The sequence below is a fragment of the Homo sapiens genome, chromosome 2, assembly GCF_000001405.40.
Source record: "Homo sapiens chromosome 2, GRCh38.p14 Primary Assembly".
Lineage (NCBI taxonomy): Eukaryota > Metazoa > Chordata > Mammalia > Primates > Hominidae > Homo > Homo sapiens.
Genome location: NC_000002.12, coordinates 141,441,134 through 141,459,811, shown reverse-complemented (window position 1 = coordinate 141,459,811; position 18,678 = coordinate 141,441,134). Strand labels below are relative to the sequence as shown.

At 37.5% G+C, this 18,678-nt stretch overlaps 1 protein-coding gene across 3 annotated transcripts in view, besides 1 other annotated feature; it reads left to right on the top strand.

Moving 5' to 3' along the window:
- Nucleotides 1–18,678, top strand: part of LRP1B (LDL receptor related protein 1B) — a 1,899,594-nt gene that overhangs the window by 671,205 nt on the left and 1,209,711 nt on the right. The window lies entirely within an intron of this gene.
- Nucleotides 3,379–3,920: an enhancer, noted in NCBI's record as "OCT4-NANOG hESC enhancer chr2:142213461-142214002 (GRCh37/hg19 assembly coordinates)". NCBI's record gives its function as "activates a minimal SCP1, AML or CMV promoter by ChIP-STARR-seq in naive and primed H9 embryonic stem cells {active_cell/tissue: H9 hESC(naive and primed)}" and the evidence as "EXISTENCE:reporter gene assay evidence [ECO:0000049][PMID:30033119]".

Below are 18,678 nucleotides of genomic sequence, written 5' to 3'. Positions count from 1 at the left end.
TTACAAAAGAAAGAGGTTTCATGGACTCACAGTTCCATGTGGCGGGGGAGGCCTCACAACCATGGCAGAAGATGAAAGTCACATCTCACATGGTGGCAAAAAACAGAAGGGAACTTGTGCAGGAAAACTTTCCTTTATACCATCAGATCTCGTGAGACTTAGTCACTGTCACCAGAATAGCATGGAAAAGACCCACCCTCCTGACTCAGTTATTTCCCACCGAGTTCCTCCCACAACACTCGGGAATTACGGGATCTACAATTCAAGATGAGATTTAGCGGGGGACAAAGCCAAACCATATCACCTTGCTTCCTTCTCCAACTCTAAAGAAATTGCAGTGAACTTCATGGTTAGACTCAGGAACATATGCCTGCACCCACAATTCAGCCTCAGACATTTACTAGCTCTCTGTTTTGAATTATGTCATAGCAGGATCCGTGAGGAAGCATAGCTACACATGACACAAGCCCTGTAGTAAGATCTTTCAATTTATTTAGGAGATGGGTCAAGATATTTCTTCACAAGATCATTTAAATGACCTTGTAAAGGTCACACACATATACATACACGTGTGTGTGTTTGATTTATACCTCTATAGCCTAAGTTGAAGACACTTGTGTAATCCATTCAACATATACTACCACCTGTGGAAACTAATTGCCAGGTTCGCTGGGAGCTTTTTCAGCTAGGTAAGTATTGAACATACTGTCCTGTTCAGCTCTCTAAGTCTAACTTTAGCTCAATTTAATTGATCAGAAACTGACACGGTGAATCAGGGTGTTTCTGGACTGCCATTTTGTCTGTTTTAGAAACCTGGACAGCAGTTGTGCACTGGCAACTAACTATAGCATGAGGCCAATTTCCTTTCTACATATTACTGTGCATAAAAATGGGAAATAAGTTATTTTTCAGTCTGAGACATTCAACCATTTATATCCATTTATACATGAACCTGGGAATGACATGGTAAAGATTTTGAGGAGGAACTTTATGAAATAGGACTGATGTTGTAGAATTACTGTTTTCCATGATCAAGGAAAAGTTCTTTTAAATAAATAATTAGCTTAGTGTGTCTGAATGTTAAGGTAACTTGGTCTATAAGTGAGTCATAGAAGCACTGTTGGCTAAAAGTTGATTTTCTTTTGGTTTTACGATTTAAAAAAAAAATGAGATAGGGATCCGAAATGCTATTAGATACTTTCTCCTTTTATAAGTACGGAAAACAGCACTGAGTCAGCCTAAAAAAAATAAATCATATTTGCTTTGGATAGGTACCGTATTCACTTATTGTGGCAGGATTAATGTTGTGTCTTGCTTTTCTACCAATTTAGATTAGTTTCTCCATTTCACGCCCTAGAGAGAATGACACTAGGCTAAATACGTTGCCAAAATGCAGACAATGAATTGGCAAAAGCAGTCGCTTTTCAGAGCTCATTCACCTTGATTTTGAATGCTCTGTCCCTGCCCAGGCGATGATGACCCAAACAGTCCTAAGTACTTTTCCTAGACTACATTGGGAATTCTGATGTCAGTTCAAGGAGAAAAGTAGAAACACTTCAAAACACATATTGTCTTGCACATTTTCTCACAATTATTTGTTCTCAATTATTTTTATTATAGAAGCCTCGGCTAAATAAGGGAGGGACCCACTATTGTCATTTCTTTAAAATAAGAAGATTTTTACCCTTTAGGGATTGACATGGCTTTCATTTCTTTCACAGAAGTTTCCTGAAGGAAGAAAAAAACAAAACAAAACAAACAAAAACCACTTACAAACAGTACTTTTATTTTGTATTTACAATGAAAGCTTATTACTCATCTTATTTGTCCAATCTAGAGCATTTTAACTACTGATTCCCTTTGACCATACTACAGTGTCTCCTGAATTACCTTGAGCCTTATTGCCACCTGCAAATTCTGCTTCATCAACTTTTCTCTGTCTTTGTACCCCAGAAGCCCCCAAGAAACAGGAAGTGCTTCTTCTTCCCTGGGCTTCCATTTTCTGCCTTGCTTTTCTTATTTTACTATCTTTCTATGCCCTCCTCTCCACTGCAGTTACCACCTCCTTGCCCCCGACACTTGCTGCTACCTTTCTTTCTCTCCTGAGATCCAGCTATGTATTTCTGACTATTTCCTATGTATTTCACATAGGTGCCCCCACAGACATGTCAAATTCATGAACCAAATCTGAACTCATCACATTTTTTTAATTTTTATTTTTAAGTTCCAGGGTACACGTGTAGGATGTGCAGGTTTGTTACATAGGTAAACATGTGCCATGATGATTTGCTGCATCTATCAACCCATCACCTAGGTATTAAATCCAGCATGTATTAGCTATTTTTCCTAATGCTCTCTCTCCCCTCACCCCACCCACTGGCACGCCCCAGTGTGTGTTGTTGCCCTCCCTGTCTCCACGTCTTTTCATTGCTCAGCTCCCACTTATAAGTGAGAATATGTGGTGTTTGGTCGTCTGTTCCTGTTATGAGCTTATCATATTTTACCCTAATCTATTATTCCTTCAGTCTGTCTTGTTTAATTATGTCACCTTCCATATAGTAACCTAAACTAGGCTAGCCTCCTGAAACCACACAAGAATATTTCCTTTCCCTTCCCTGACCCAAAACATGTCACCAAGTTCAAATTATTCTTAACCCTTAACTACTTCCAGAATTCACCTACTTCTGTCCATCCAAACTCCTCCTGACTTAGTTCTGCCTATAATAAAACTTCAGTAAGGTAAGGTAATAATCACACAAGTTGTTTTTCGTCACCTGATCTAACTCATTCCAATCTATAATCCATTCAGTCAGAAAAGCCATCTTACTAATAAAGTGCAAATTGAATATTCAGTCCCTTGCTTAAACTTATCTTATGAATTACAAGTTCCTTAGAAAGACAGCATAAGTTCCCTATTTCACCAACCTCATCTTCCAGCCTTTCTTCTTATGAACCCTAGATTTTAGCTGAATCAAGACTTCCTGGATCAGTGTCAATCATTCAATGGCTCTTCAGTTTCATATATCTTGTTCCCACTACTTGAAATACTTTTGCTATGAGATCTTATTCCCATCCACCAGAAAAATGCTTACTTACCTTTTGAAGCTCAGCCCAGGCATTTTAACTCTAGGAAGATTTCTTTGAACTAAGTTGACTTTTTAATATTTTCATTTCATATCTTATTGCAGCATTACATTCACTCACTCATGTATTATTTTATTTCTTCAACAAGTATTTAATGAATATCTATAATGTATTTGCCCATGTAATAGGTGTGAGGAATTCAGAAATGAAAATATATTGTCTCTAATCTCAAGATGTTCATAGTTGAGGAGAAAACAGTCCTGGAAACAAAAAATAACAAAGTAATATCAACAGTTTGTAAGGTTATATTTGAAATAGTATGATGTGATATAAAGACTATAGGTGTTTTAGTCAGGATTCATGCAAAATAACAGTAACCACTCTGAGTATTTAAATAGATGGAAATCAAGGCAGGACATTTTTACACTGTTGGTGGAAAAACTTAAAAGTAAATAATAGATGGTGAAGTAACATCGATCTGGTGACAGCAGTTTAAAAGAAAAAAAAATACATTTGCAAAACTTCATTTACTGACAATGGAAAGCCATTCACCTCCAGGCTGGAGACAAAAAGGGAAAACGCTATAGTACTGGTGGCCAGTTTGTCCTCTGACAGCTAAAGCCATGGATGCAGCAGTGGCCAGAGGTGCTGACAATGGTAGGAATGAAGAAGAAAAAATTGCATGTCTTCTTTCCAGTCACTGCTTCCTGCTGTTTGTACTCAGCCAGAAGCCCATGGATAGAGGAGCCTCAAACCTTGATTTTCTCACTTATCACATGGGCAGTAATACTACCTTGATGAACTAGTGTGATAATTAGTGGTAATGTAGATAAAATAGCTTGTAGTGCACTGGGAAATCTCATTATTCTTTGAATGATAGATAATATCTTGATGAAATTTCACATTTTCAAGTTTAAATGGCAAAAGCATTTCAAAAGTTGGTATTTATTGGTCTGTCTCTTCCTTTGTGCTTCTGATGCCTAGCAGAGTACTGAATAATTACTCATAAAAGTTATTAATGTATTTGTTCATTTATTCCACAAAACGTACATCTTTAGGTGGTTACTGAGTTGCTAAGGATACGCAATGCATTCTTGCCTCATGATTCAGTGGGGTCTATTTAGATTTCTTGATGGGAGAACACTTGCTCCTACCCCTGTCCCCATCTCCATCTTTTTGTAGTTTCTTACTGGCTTCACTCAAAAACCAAAAGAAAAAAAAAATGAACGTCATTATGAATTAAAATCTTCTGCGGTGTCTGCTATTCCTGCACAGGCTCGAGTTTTCCTGACTCGGACACTTCAACTGAACACTGAGAAGATACAGATCGCTGAGCAAGCAGCAAAGAGAATTCTGTGCCCTCTGGGTGTGATGCATTCATCCATTAAACAGGAGAAGAAAAACTTGCAAATCAACTTGTAGGGAGATATGTAAATTGATTAGGACAAGTTAATTTTTCTTTGTTCCTTTTTTTTTTTTAATGATTAAGATGGTTATTCAGATAGGTAGACATCAGATTCATTCCATAATTGATTAAATACATCAGTCTTTTCAAAGGTTTTTGACCAGGCCTACATTTATGTAGCACATAGGCATTTTCTCCCCTAAAATAAGAGACAGTTTAAATTCATGTTTGCAAAAGTTCTTGGCAATTACAATACCATAATATCAGATTAACTGGTCACTGGTAGATAGTCATTTTCTATTGCATTTTGAATGCAAATCTGGTGACAGCAGTTTAAAAGAAAAAAAATACATTTACAAAGCTTTGGCCAACATTATTGGATATTGTATATAAAAGAGATGCCAGAAGAGAATTTTCCTAGCTCTCTTCGTCTTGGAGAGTATTCCTCAGTAATGATAAGGAGAAAGACCTCCTATCAAGTGAAATTGATCTAGCTTCGTATATTTCTCAGAGTAGCACTATTCCTCTCCTCTCTGCGATGTTTACAGGGTAAAGATATTTGCATTCAAACTCAAACTAGGAAAAGTTGTCATGAACTGACCTTCACGAAAGAAAAAGTATAAAGGCTGTACTTCAGGTGGAAGGAGAATGATGTCAACTAGCTTTCCTGACATGCAAGAGGAATAGTGAGCAAAGATATTAGTAAATATGTAGGTAAATCTAAAGTAATGGTGTATTAAATATTAATGATGTTTCATTTGTTCGGTTAAAAGAACTGGACTGACAGAAAATATTAAATATTAATGTATGTCATGGTAGGTTCTGTGGTTGGTCTGCACAGACCATGTAAGTGGGCCCATAGTAGCTGAGTAGGGCAGTGCACGCAGGGAAGGACTAGGTCTTAATGAGAGGTAGGGAGTTCTTGCCAGCACTTCTCTTGTCTTGCTGTTACCTGATAAGTATACTTTCACTCACTCAGGAGGGAAACTTTGTGCAATTTCTATTCTTTAATATCAAATCAGAAACTGTAATGAAAAAGAACATTATTGGGAACAGAATTGGGATGTCTAACTCATTATCAACAGGTCATTTTAAATTGACCAAGTGGTGTACAAAATTATAGTCTCTTAACTTAGAGACAGTCTGTGTACTTTTAATTCTAAAGTTTTGTGTTTTTCTACATAAGACAAAAATTAAATGCCAAATTTTCACTCTATTCAATATTTTTATATAAGCATGTTAAATACATATTTGGGGGCAAGGTTGGCATAAGATGTTATGGGGAAATGCAATGAAATATAGTACATGACTCTAACATTCAAAGAAATTAACTTTAGATAATGGATGAGGTGATAGATACCAGAAAGAATAAATAAACACTAGAACTTTTTTTTTTCTTTTTTTTTTTTTGAGACAGAGTCTCACTTTGTTGCCCAGGCTTGAGTGCAATGTTGGGATCTCAGCTCACTGAAACATCCCACTCTGGGTTCAAGCAATTCTCCTGCCTCAGCCTCCTGAGTAGCTGGAACTGCAGGTGTCACCACACCCGGCTAATTTTTGTATTCTCAGTAGAGACAGGGTTTTGTCATTTTGGCCAGGCTGGTCTCAAACTCCCGACCTCAGGACATCCACCTGCCTCGGCTTCCCAAAGTGCTGGGATTACAGGTGTGGGCCGCTGAGCCCAGCTAACAGTAGAACTTTCAATATATGCATTTCAAAATAATTATGGAAGCATTTTCATAAGACGGTATAACATTGTCAAATATGAGATGTAACACCTGACACAGAACCTAGTAACATTACCTGAATAGGCATTTGTTGCATGGCAGGTACACAAACTATTATTAGAGTTCAGATAAAAGTCACTGTGGAAATTGGATAACTATGGAAGACTCATGGAAACTAATTTTAGTTGAGAAGTGGAAATTGGAATGTTTTTGAACAATGGGAGAAAAGGAAAGAAAAAGCATTCAAGGTGAATGGAATAGTGTTAACAAAATCAGAGAAACAGGAAAGAATATCTAAATATGTATTATTTTTATTGAAATCCTCAGACATTGTTATTTTGTGTATTTTTTTTTATTTTGAGATGGAGTCTCACTTTGTCACCCAGGCTGGAGTGTAGTGGGGCAATCTCAGCTCACTGCAAACTCTGTCTCCTGGGTTCAAGCAATTCTCCTTCCTTAGCCTCCTGAGTAGCTGGGACTACAGGCATGTACCACCACATCTGGCTAATTTTTGTATATTTTAGTAGAGACGGGTATTCACCATGTTGGCCAACCTGGTCTCGAACTCCTGACCTCAAGTGATCTGCCGACCTCAGCCTCCCAGAGTGCTGGGATTACAGGTGTGAGCTACCGTGGGTGGCCACATTGTGCTATTTTGAATAAAGACTTATATAAAACAGGCCTTTGGTGAAATAATATAGTCATCCAATAACCTCCAGGAAGTACAGCCATGGTAAAAGAGTAGTTACATCCAGGAGGTACAAGAGGGGTAAGAAAAGTAGGTTACCCTCTAAGAAAGGAAATACCTCCTGGGAGAACCAACAAGTGTTCAGCAAGGACTGACCTTGGTTTATCATCCAGGGGTGACTGAGGAATAGCTACAAACAAGCAAACTAGTTGATTCTAGAGTAGTGACAACTATAATGGACAACATTGCAGGTACCTGGGAAACTTCTTTACTGGGAAAGATTAGAGATATTTTGGCTTCTTTCCAAGATCTCATGCTTGCCATGTGTAATCGATGCTAGCTTTTTTGAGAAAATCATGCTAATGAAAAGATATACTACATTTGCAGTAGAGTTTACAGAAAACAGTATAGAATTCAGCATTGAGGAACTGGTTTAAGTTAACAGAATATTGAATTTATGCAATTATGGACTTGTCAGTAGCAAACATATATTCTATTCTCTCTTCAAGAAATACAATAATTTCCATCATCAAAAAAAAGTCTCATCAGGCATTACCAATATTCAGCATTGTATCAGTCATACCAGTGTCACATTATTTATAGCAAGACTTGGAAGATGCTCATTCCTGGGCTTGCCTTAGAATTACAGGCATTTTTCATCACACACTGGCTGATTTGGAGACCTACCCAGTGATGCTCTACACCTCTTATCTCTTTTTTTTTCCAGCCTCCTTAGTTCAAATTGTGGGAATAATTTTGTACAGTTATCTCACAAACTCCAAGTGAATTCTTTTTATAAAGTTTTATACAGCCTTAAATTATGGTAATAAGGTAGATAGTTAAGGACAAATTCATTCTTCTTTTTCTCATGGCTGCTATTTAAAATAGTCACAAAAGAGGAGGCATTTAATAAATATTTGTTGAAGGGATAAATGAAATGTAAATAATTCAATTTAGCTTGGTTAACATATCCAACAGGGTCACTAAGGAAAACTGAATGTATTGTTTTTCTTTGTGTTCCTGTCATCTCTGCAAAAACCTTATTTGAGATTGCTTTGAATTTGGGAACTTATTTATGTGTAGTTTCAAAGCTAGTATTGGCAAAATAGTTTAAGCTGAATAACTTCTATTGACAAAAGGTCCAAGATGGATAATTAAGTAATTTTTTAAAAATATGTCTTTGAAATTAAGATACAATAAGAGAGTAGAAAAGGATTGAAATTCTCAAAGAAATGTTTTGTATAAAAAGAAGCCCTTCTGTTTGTGGCCAGTTTTTTTTATAACGTATAACTTCTATGAGAACAAGAAAATAGATAATTCACCCAACAGGTACAATTATATAGGTGAATTCTGCAAGGACAATTTTGTTCTTCAATGAATTATCCACAGGTGCCTACAGTACTGAGGAGTAATAGGCATTCAACATCTGTTTTCTGAATTAGTTAATTTGTATTTTGATGTCAATGTAACTAGGTTGCTTTACATTTACAATTATTATAGTGTATTATTTTGTAATTTAAATAATCAGTCTCTGTTCTAAGTGAAAACAGTCTTTTTCAATACTGAGCTTTTAAATTGACACTACCAGTTCACTAAGAGTACACACTTAAAACATTGGATGGATACAAATTATTGAACTTGATATTTTGTAAGTTGTATTCTGTTGAAGTCATACACAGATGGGTTAGTGTTTCAAGCATGCACACACTCAGGGTCTTGGCTGCAAGCAAACACTCCTGGGTCCTACACTCCTAATGTCTCTTATCAGGTATTACCAATATTCAGCATTAGCCTCAGTCGTCCCAGTATCACATTACTTGTATCAAGACTTGGAAGATGCTCATTCCTGAGCTTGTCTTGGAATTATAGTCATTAGATATTTTAATTTAGAAATGCAATCACACAGATTGTGAGGGTCAGGCAAACAATTGTGTTATAGTGATTTTAAGCTGATGTCTATTATTAGGAGCATGTTTTGTTGGATATGAAATAGTTTATAAACACTTAAAATACTTCGACCCTAGGGCATAATTGTCACTGCTCAAATAATTCTGAGTGCTGAACTTTTAGAGTTAATAAATATATTGTATATGACAAGAAAAATATCTATTTTAGCACTGAAAGTTATCTTTTACCAAGTAGACCCACTTAAGATTCCACACTGCCTCCCACAAAATCAATTCAAATAAATGAAGATTTATTTATGTGCATTAATACATTTAAAAGTATTGGCCTGTTAGAGCTAAATAATTTTTATTTTAGTGATACATGGAAAACATTAATATTGAATCATTTTTATGTTCTTCCTAATTATATATATATATTTTTTTTTAAAATATGGCATCTTTATTTTTTTAAAAATAGGATTCTGTCTCATCAGTGATGATGAAGTTGATGATGTTATGTATAAGAAATGGTCTTGAGTTTACTCTGCACCTTCCTAAGTACTTTATACACATCAACTCATTTGTAACCACAACTCCATATACCAAACTATTATAATCTCATGCTCACAAATGAAGAAACTGAGGATTAAAGATGTTAAATATCCTTCCCAAGATCAAAGAATTGCAAAGCTGGCATATGCTGGAACTGGAATTTGATATTTGGCCAGACTCTGGAACCTGTGCTCTTATTCACTATTAGCTTGTATATCAGAACTAATGAAATGTGTGTTTGGCAAGAACTAATAAAAACAAAGGCAGTAGATAGAAAGTGTGCAATGCTTTGTTGGTAACATCTTTCTATCTCCCTATCTCTTTCTCCCTCCCTCTCTTCTTCTCTGTATCTCCTTCCTTCCAACCCTCCTTCTCTTCCTTTATCCTTTCTTCCCTCCTCAACGTTTAAAATAATAAATGCATTTGCATATGGATATAGTTGTTGAAACCAGTGGTTCTCAACTGGGAGTGACTTTGCAACTCAAAGAACATTTGACAATGTCTAGAGATATTTTTGATTGTCATATCTGGGGAGATGAAACTGACATCTAGAGGGTAGAAGTGAGGAATGCCGCTAAACATCCTACAATGCACAGGGCAACTCCAACAACAGGTAATTATCTGGTATCAAATATCAGTAGTAGATTTGAGAAATACTTGTTTAAATTAAGAAAGCTATCACATAATTTCCACAAAAAAGTTTACATTTGTCCAAATCCTCACTGCAACTGTTATTATTCTACTTAACTTGAAACAAAATATGTTTTTGACCAAAAATGATTCTATGTATGTGATATTTCATAATTAATGCAGATCTATTTATTTAAATTAACCCTGTGGTTTTTTTCTTGCACATATATCTTAGTCAAAAACATCACTGCTTCCTCTGACCCTTGTAGTCAACACAATTAGAATATGTAGGGACGGCAAAGTAGAGTTAGGAAGATATTGAGAAGAAAGAGAAACTAAATGCCAATGGAATCTGCAATATAAAAAATGTAAAAAATCTGAAATATAAAAAATGTAAGGTTTGGTGGGGGTCATTTAGGATTAATCAAACATCAATTCCAAAGAAATTTTTTTCTTACAGTAAAATATTTAAATATATTTGTGTACTCCAAAAATTATTCACATTTGCATGCAACTTCCCAAATGCCAATTTCAAGAGTCATAACATTGTAATTGAAATTACATGCTGGAAGATGTCATAAATGTGCTATGCAATGGTGGGCTTCACAAGATTAAGCAAAAATTTAGGATTTATAGCGCAGATTAGTCTTAATACATTTCTGTTTATCTTTCCAACTAGAATAAAAGGGAATATCTTGCCAAGTAATATGCTACTTGATTTAACAAAAAAGGTAATGGCAGTTAAGTTAAGGAAAGGAAGATTTCACATAGTTTTGTTAATTACCATGTAAATGTTACCTATGATATGACATTTAAATCTACAAATGATTAACAAAGATTCTTAAAGCATATTGCTCTAAGCAAAGTTTAGCGGCCTTGTTTAACAAATTGAATAGTTTCAAATTTCAAAGCAGCTTAAAAGGCCTAAATGCTTCTTGAACTCTGAAGATGGAAACTTCTTAAGAATGTGTGAGGATTGGGTGGATGGCAAGATGGCCAAATAGGAAGAGCTCTAGTCTGCAGCTCCCAGCAAGATGAACGCAGAAGGTGGGTGATTTCTGCATTTCCAACTGAGATACCTGGCTGATCTCACTGGGAGTGGTTAGACAGTGGGTTTAGCCCGTGGAGGGCGAGCCGAAGCAGGGTGGGGTGTCGCTTCACCTGGGAAGTTCACGAGGTTGGGGAACTCCCTCCCCTAGCCAGGGGAAGCCGTGAAGGGACTGTGTCCCAAGGAATGGTGCAATCCGGCCCAGATACTACGCTTTTGCCATGGTCTTCGCAACCCACAGACCTACACCACCAAGGCCCTGGGTTTCAAGCACAAACCTGGGCAGCCTTTTAGGCAGACACCAAGCTAGCTACACGAGTTTGTTTTTCATATCCCAGTGCTGTCTGGAATGCCAGCAAGACAGAATCGTTCACTCCCCTGGTATGGGAGCTGAAGCCAGGAAGCCAAGTGGTCTTGCTCAGCAGATCCCACCCCACAGAGCCCAGCAAGCTAAGACCTAGTGGTTTGAAATTCTCACTACCAGCACAGCAGTCTGAAGTCAACCTGGGATGCTTGAGCTTGGTTGGGGGAGGGGCATCCAACATTACTGAGGCTTGAGTAGATGGTTTTCCCCTCACAGTGTAAACAAAGTCCCTGGGAAGTGCAGACTGGGTGGAGCCCACCACAGCTCAGCAAAGCTGCTGTAGCCAGTCTGGCACTCTAGATTCCTCCTCTCTGGGCATGGCATCTCTGAAAGAAAGGCAGCAGCCCCAGTCAGGATCTTATAGATAAAACTCCCATCTCCCTGGGACAGAGCACCTTGGGCAAGGGGCAGCTGTGGATGCAGCTTCAGCCAACTTAAATGTTCCTGCCTACCAGCTCTGAAGACAGCAGCGGATCTCCCAGCACAGTGCTCAAGCTCTGCTAAGGGACAGACTGCCTCCTCAAGTGGGTCCCTGACTCCCATGACTCCTGATGGGGAGACACCTCCCAGCAGGGGTCAACAGACACCTCATACAGGAGAGCCCTGGCTGGCACCCTGGCAGTTGGCCTTCTGGGACAAAGCTTCCAGAGGAAGGAACAGGCAGCAATCTTTGCTGTCCTGTAGCCTCTGCTGGTGATAACCAGGCAAACAGGGTCTGGAGTGGACCTCCAGCAAACTCCAGCAGACCTGCAGCAGAGGGGCCTGGCTGTTAGAAGGAAAACTAACAAACAGAAAGGAATAGCATCAACATCAACAAAAAGGACATCCACTCAAAAAACCCATTCGAAGGTCACCAACATCAAAGACCAAAGGTAGATAAATCCATGAACATGAGGAAACACCAGTGCAAAAAGGCTGAAAATTCCAAAAACTGGAACGCCTCTTCTCCAAAGGATCACAACTCCTCACCAGCAAGGGCACAAAACTAGATGGAGAATGAGTTTGACAAATTGACAGAAGTAGGCTTCAGAAGGTGGGTAGTAACAAACTCCTCCAAGCTAAAGGAGCATGTTCTAACCCAATGCAAGGAAGCTAAGAACTTTGAAAAAAGGCCAGAGGAGTTGCTAACTAGAATAACCAGTTTAGAGAAGAACATAAATGAACTGATGGAGCTGAAAAACTCAGCACGAGTACTTCGTGAAGCATACACAAGTATCAATAGCCAAATCGATCAAGCAGAAGAAAGGATATCAGAGATTGAAGATCAACTTAATGAAATAAAGTGTGAAGACAAGATTAGAGAAAAAAGAATGAAAAGGAACAAACAAAGCCCCCAAGAAATATGGGACTATGTGAAAAGACCAAACCTACATTTGATTGGCATACCTGAAAGTGATGGAAGAACGGAACCAAGTTGGAAAACACTCTTCAGGATATTATTCAGGAGAACTTCCCCAACCTAGCATGTCATGCCAACATTCAAATTCAGGAAATATAGAGAACACCACAAAGAGACTCCTTGAGAAGAGCAACCCCAAGACACATAACTGTCAGATTCACCAAGATTGAAATGAAGGAAAAAACATTAAAGGCAGCCAGTGAGAAAGGTTGCGTTACCCACAAAGGAAATCCCATCAGACTAAGAGTGGGTCTCTCTCCGCAGAAACCCTGCAAACCAGCAGAGAGTGGGGGCCAATATTCAACATTCTTAAAGAAAAGAATTTTCAACCCAGAATATCATATCCAGCCAAGCTAAGCTTCATAAGCAAATGAGAAATAAAATCCTTCACAGACAAGCAAATGCTGAGAGATTTTGTCACCACCAGGCCTGCCTTACAAGAGCTCCTGAAGGAAGCACTAAATATGGAAAAGAAAAACAGGTACCAGACATGGCAAAAACATACCAAATTGTAAAGTCCATTGACTCTATGAAGAAACTGCATCAACTAATGGGCCAAATAACCAGCTAGCATCATAATGACAGGATCAAATTCACACGTAACAATATTAACCTTAAATGTTAACAGGCTAAATGCCCCAATTAAAAGACACAGACTGGCAAATTGGATAAAGAGTCAAGACCCATCGATGGACTGTATTCAGAGACCCATCTCACATATAAAGACACACATAGACTCAAAATAAAGGAATGGAGGAATATTTACCAAACAAATCAAAAGCAAAAAAAAGAGCAGGGGTTGCAATCCTAGTCTCTGATAAAACAGACTTTAAACCAACAAAGATCAAAAAAGGCATTACATAATGGTAAAGGGATCAATTCAACAAGAAGAGCTAACTATCCTAAATATATATGCACACAATACAGGAGCACCCAGATTCATAAAGCAAGTCCTTAGAGACCTACAAAGAGACTTACACTCCCACACAATAATAATGGGAGATTTTGATATCCCACTGTCAAAATTAGATAGATCAACAAGACAGAAAATTAACAAGTATATTCAGGACTTGAACTCAGCTCCAGACGAAGTGGACCTAATAGACATCTACAGAATTCTCCACACCAAATCAACAGAATATATATTCTTCTCAGCACCACGTTGCACTTATTCTAAAATTCACCACATAATTGCAAGTAAAATACTCCTCAGCAAATGAGAAAGAACAGAAATTATAACAGTCTCTCAGACCACAGTGCAATCAAATTAGAATTCAGGATTTAGAAGCTCAATCAAAACGCATAACTACATGGAAACTGAACAACCTGCTCCTGCATGACTGCTGAGTAAATAACAAAATTAAGGCAGAAATAAATAAGTTATTTGAAACCAATGAGAACAAAGACACAACATACCAGAATTGCTGGGACACAGCTAACACAGTGTTTAGAGGGAAATTTATAGCACTAAATGTCCACAGGAGAAAGCAGGAAAGATCTAAAATTGACACCCTTACATCACAATTAAAAGAACTAGAGAAGCAAGAGCAAACAAATTCAAAAGTTATCAGAAGACAAGAAATAACTAAGATCAGAGCAGAACTGAAGGAGATAGAGACACAAAAAACCCTTCAAAAATTCAATGAATGCAGGAGCTGGTTTTTGAAAAGATGAACAAAATAGACCACTAGCCAAACTAATAAAGAAGAAAAGAGAGAAGAATCAAATAGACACAATAAAAAATGATAAAGGGGATAACACCACTGATCCCACAGAAATAGAAACTACCATCAGAGAATATTGTAAACAACTCTATGCAAATAAACTAGAATATCTAAAAGAAATGGATAAATTCTTGGACACATACACCCTCCCAATACTAAACCAGGAAGAAGTCAAATCCCTGAATAGACCAATACCAAATTCTGAAATTGAGGCAGTAATTAATAGCCTACCAACCAAAACAAGTCCAGGACCAGACAGATTCACAGCCAAATTCTACCAGAGGTACAGAGAGGAGCTGATACCATTCCTTCTGAAACTATTGCAAACAATAGAAAAAGAGGGACTCCTCCCTAACTCATTTTATGAGGCCAGCATCACCCTGATACCAGAACCTGACAGAGACACAACAGAAAAAGAAAAGTTCAGGCCAATATCCCTGATGAACATCCATGAGAAAATCCTCAATAAAATACTGGCAAACCGAATCCAGCAGCACATCAAAAAGCATATCCACCATGATCAAGTCAGCTTCATTTCTGGGATGCAAGGTTGGTTTAACATGTGGAAATCAATAAACATAATTTACCACATAAACAGAACCAATGACAAAAACTACATGATTATCTCAATAGATGCAGAAAAGGCCTTTGATAAAATTCAACACACCTTCATACTAAAAACTCTCAATAAACTAAGCACTGATGGAACATATCTCAAAATAATAAGAACTATTTATGACAAACCCCCAGACAATATGATACTGAATGGGCAAAAGCTGGAAGCATTCCCTTTAAAAACCAGCACAAGACAAGGATGCCCTCTTTCACCACTCCTATTCTACATAGTATTGGAAGTTCTGGCCAAGACAATCAGGCAAGTGAAAGAAAGCGTATTCAAATAGGAAGAGAGGAAGTCAAATTATCTCTATTTGAGATGACATGATTGTATATTTAGAAAACCCCATTGTCTCAGCCCCAAATCTCCTTAAGCTGATAAGCAACTTCAGCAAACTCTCAGGATACAAAATCAATGTGCAAAAATCACAAGCATTTCAATACACCAATAATAGACAAACAGAGAGCCAAATCATGAGTGAACTCCCATCCAGAGTTGCTACAAAAAGAATAAAATACCCCAGGAATACAAGTTACAAGGGATGTGAAGGACTTCTTCAAGGAAAAAACAAACCACTGCTCAAGGAAATAAGAGAGGACCAAACAAATGGAAAAACATTCCATGCTCATGGATAGGAAGAATCAATATCATGAAAATGGCCATACTGCCCAAAGTAATTTATAGATTCAGTGCTATACCCATCAAGCTACCATTGCCTTTCTTCACAGAATTAGAAAAAAAAACTACTTTAAATTTTATAGGGAACCAAAAAAGAGCCTGTATATCCAAGACAATCCTAAGCAAAAAGAACAAAGCTGGAGGCATCACGTTACCTGACTTCAAACTATACTGCAAGGCTACATTAATCAAAACAGCATGGTAGTAGTACCAAAACATATATACAGACCAATGGAACACAGCAGTGGCCTCAGAAATAATGCCACACATCTACAACCATCTGATCTCTGACAAACCTGACAAAAACAAGCAATGGGGAAAGGATTCCCTGTTTAATAAATGGTGTTGAGAAAACTGGCTAGACATATGCAGAGAACTGAAATTGTACCCCTTCCTTACACCTTATACAAAAATTAACTCAAGATGGATCAAAGACTTAAACATAAGACCTAAAACCATAAAAACCCTAGAAGACAACCTAGGCAATACCATTCAGGACAGGAATGGGCAAAGACTTCATGACTAAAACACCAAAAGCAATGGCAACAAAAGCCAAAATTGACAAATCAGATCTAATTCAACTAAAGAGCTCCTGCACAGCAAAAGAAGCTATCATCACAGTGAACAGGCAACCTGCAGAATGGGAGACAAATTTTGCAACCTATCCATCTGACAAAGTGCTAATATACAGAATCTATAAGAAACTTAAACAAATTTACAAGAAAAAAACAAACAGCCTCATCAAAAAGTGGGTGAAGGATATGAACAGACACTTCTCAAAAGAAGACATTTATGCAGCCAACAAACATATGAAAAAAAGCTCATCATCACTGGTCATTAGAGAAATGCAAATCAAAACCACAATGAGATACCATCTCATGCCAGTTAGAATGGTGATCATTAAAATGTGGGGAAGCAACAGATGCTGGAGAGGATGTGGAGAGATAGGAACACTTTTACACGGTTGGTGGGGTGTAAATTAGTTCAAACATTGTGGAAGAGACAGCGTGTCAATTCCTCAAGGATCTAAAACCAGAAATACCATTTGACCCAGCAATCCCATTACTGGATATATACCTAAAGATTATAAATCATTCTACTATGAAGACACATGCATATATATGTTTATTGCAGCAGTATTCACAATAGCAAAGACTTGGAACAAACCCAAATGCCCGTCAATTTTATACTGAATAAAGAAAAGGTGGCACATATACACCATGGAATACGATGTAGCCATAAAGAAGGATGTGTTCATGTACTTTGCAGGGACATGGACGAAGCTGGAAACCATCATTCTCAGTAAACTAACATAGTAACAGAAAATCAAACACCGCGTGTTCTCACTCATAAGTAGGAGTTGAACAATGAGAACACAAGGACACAGGGAGGGGAACATCACACACTGGGGCATGTTTGCAGGTTGGGGGCTGAGGGAGGGATAGCATTAGGAGAAATACCTAATGTAGATGATGGGTTGATGGGTGCAGCAAACCACCATGGCACTTGTATAACTATGTAACAAACCTACATGTTCTGCACATGTATCCCAGAACTTAAAGTATAATTAAAAAAAAAAAAAAAAGAATGTGTGAAGATTAAAACATACAGACCTTTCAGAAAACAGTAGTATATTGTCCACTGTTTTTTACATGAATTTTTGTTATTTATCTATTATACTATAAAAGTAAATCTTTTGTAAAAAGTAAGATATATCAAAAGCCTTAACTTTTATTTTCTCATAAGTGTATGTTGCTATTTGTTGTATTTATGAAATACAGACTTTTCCACATATACTTTTATTTAAAGCATCTTGTTACAGAGATGGTTGCAATCAGCTACTCATTCTCTATTTTGTAAAGTGCACAATTTGGAAATGGAAAAGGAAAAGCATTTCCAGTCTTTTCATGAAATTTATTATTAGAAACCGTAACAGTATAGACAATTTTCGTAATGTCTTTTTCCAAAGATTCAAAATTTGGGTAGAGTCACATGTATCTGCAAATATAGGGTAATTGCTCCTGGGTGATGTTTTAAGAGCTCTTTTGACACTATCATTTTTACTTATGCAGAATAAAATTTATAGATTGAATGTCATAGAAACAAGTTGAGAACCTTGATTACCAGATTTGAATGTCCTGACAAATTGATTTCTCTGGTCAACACACTGTTGTTACCTGAAGAAGTCTCAGTTCAACTTGCATTATTGAAAATCTTTCAAGACTGTAGCGTTCAATGTTCCTGGTTTCATAATGAGACTACACTGCTAACAGTGACTCTCTCCTTGTTAACTGATTCTCTTGAAGTGTTCCTGGGTAATTATTCTATGCATCAGCTCCTGTATAGAATATTACAGATGTATAATGTGTAAAAGCTAGGCATGATTAGTTATTTGTTTACATTTTTAAACAGAAATTCCTGATGTGAGCTTTTTAAAAAAGAAAACACACAAACCATTTGTCTTATTCTCTTAAAGTATAAAACAAAAAAATAGTTTTAATAAAATTAGGACTCTGATTAGTTGGTCTACAAGTATTTATGGTTTAAGTGTGCTTCTAAGTTACTGAGATTCCTTAGGGATCAGTGGAAAACAGTAATGCCAAGCAGGTATTCCCATAATAAAACCCAGGGCTGGCCAGGTGTGGTGGCTCACGCCTGTAGTCCCAGCACTTTGGGAGGCCGAGATGGGTGGATCATCTGCAGTCAGGCGTTCAAGACTAGCCTGACCAATTTGGTGAAAACCCCTCTCCACTAAAAAATACAAAAATTAGCCAGGCATGGTGGCAGGCACCTGTAATCCCAGCTACTTGGGAGGCTGAAGCAGGAGAATCACTTGAACCCGGGAGGTGGAGGTTGCAGTGAACCAAGATCGTACCA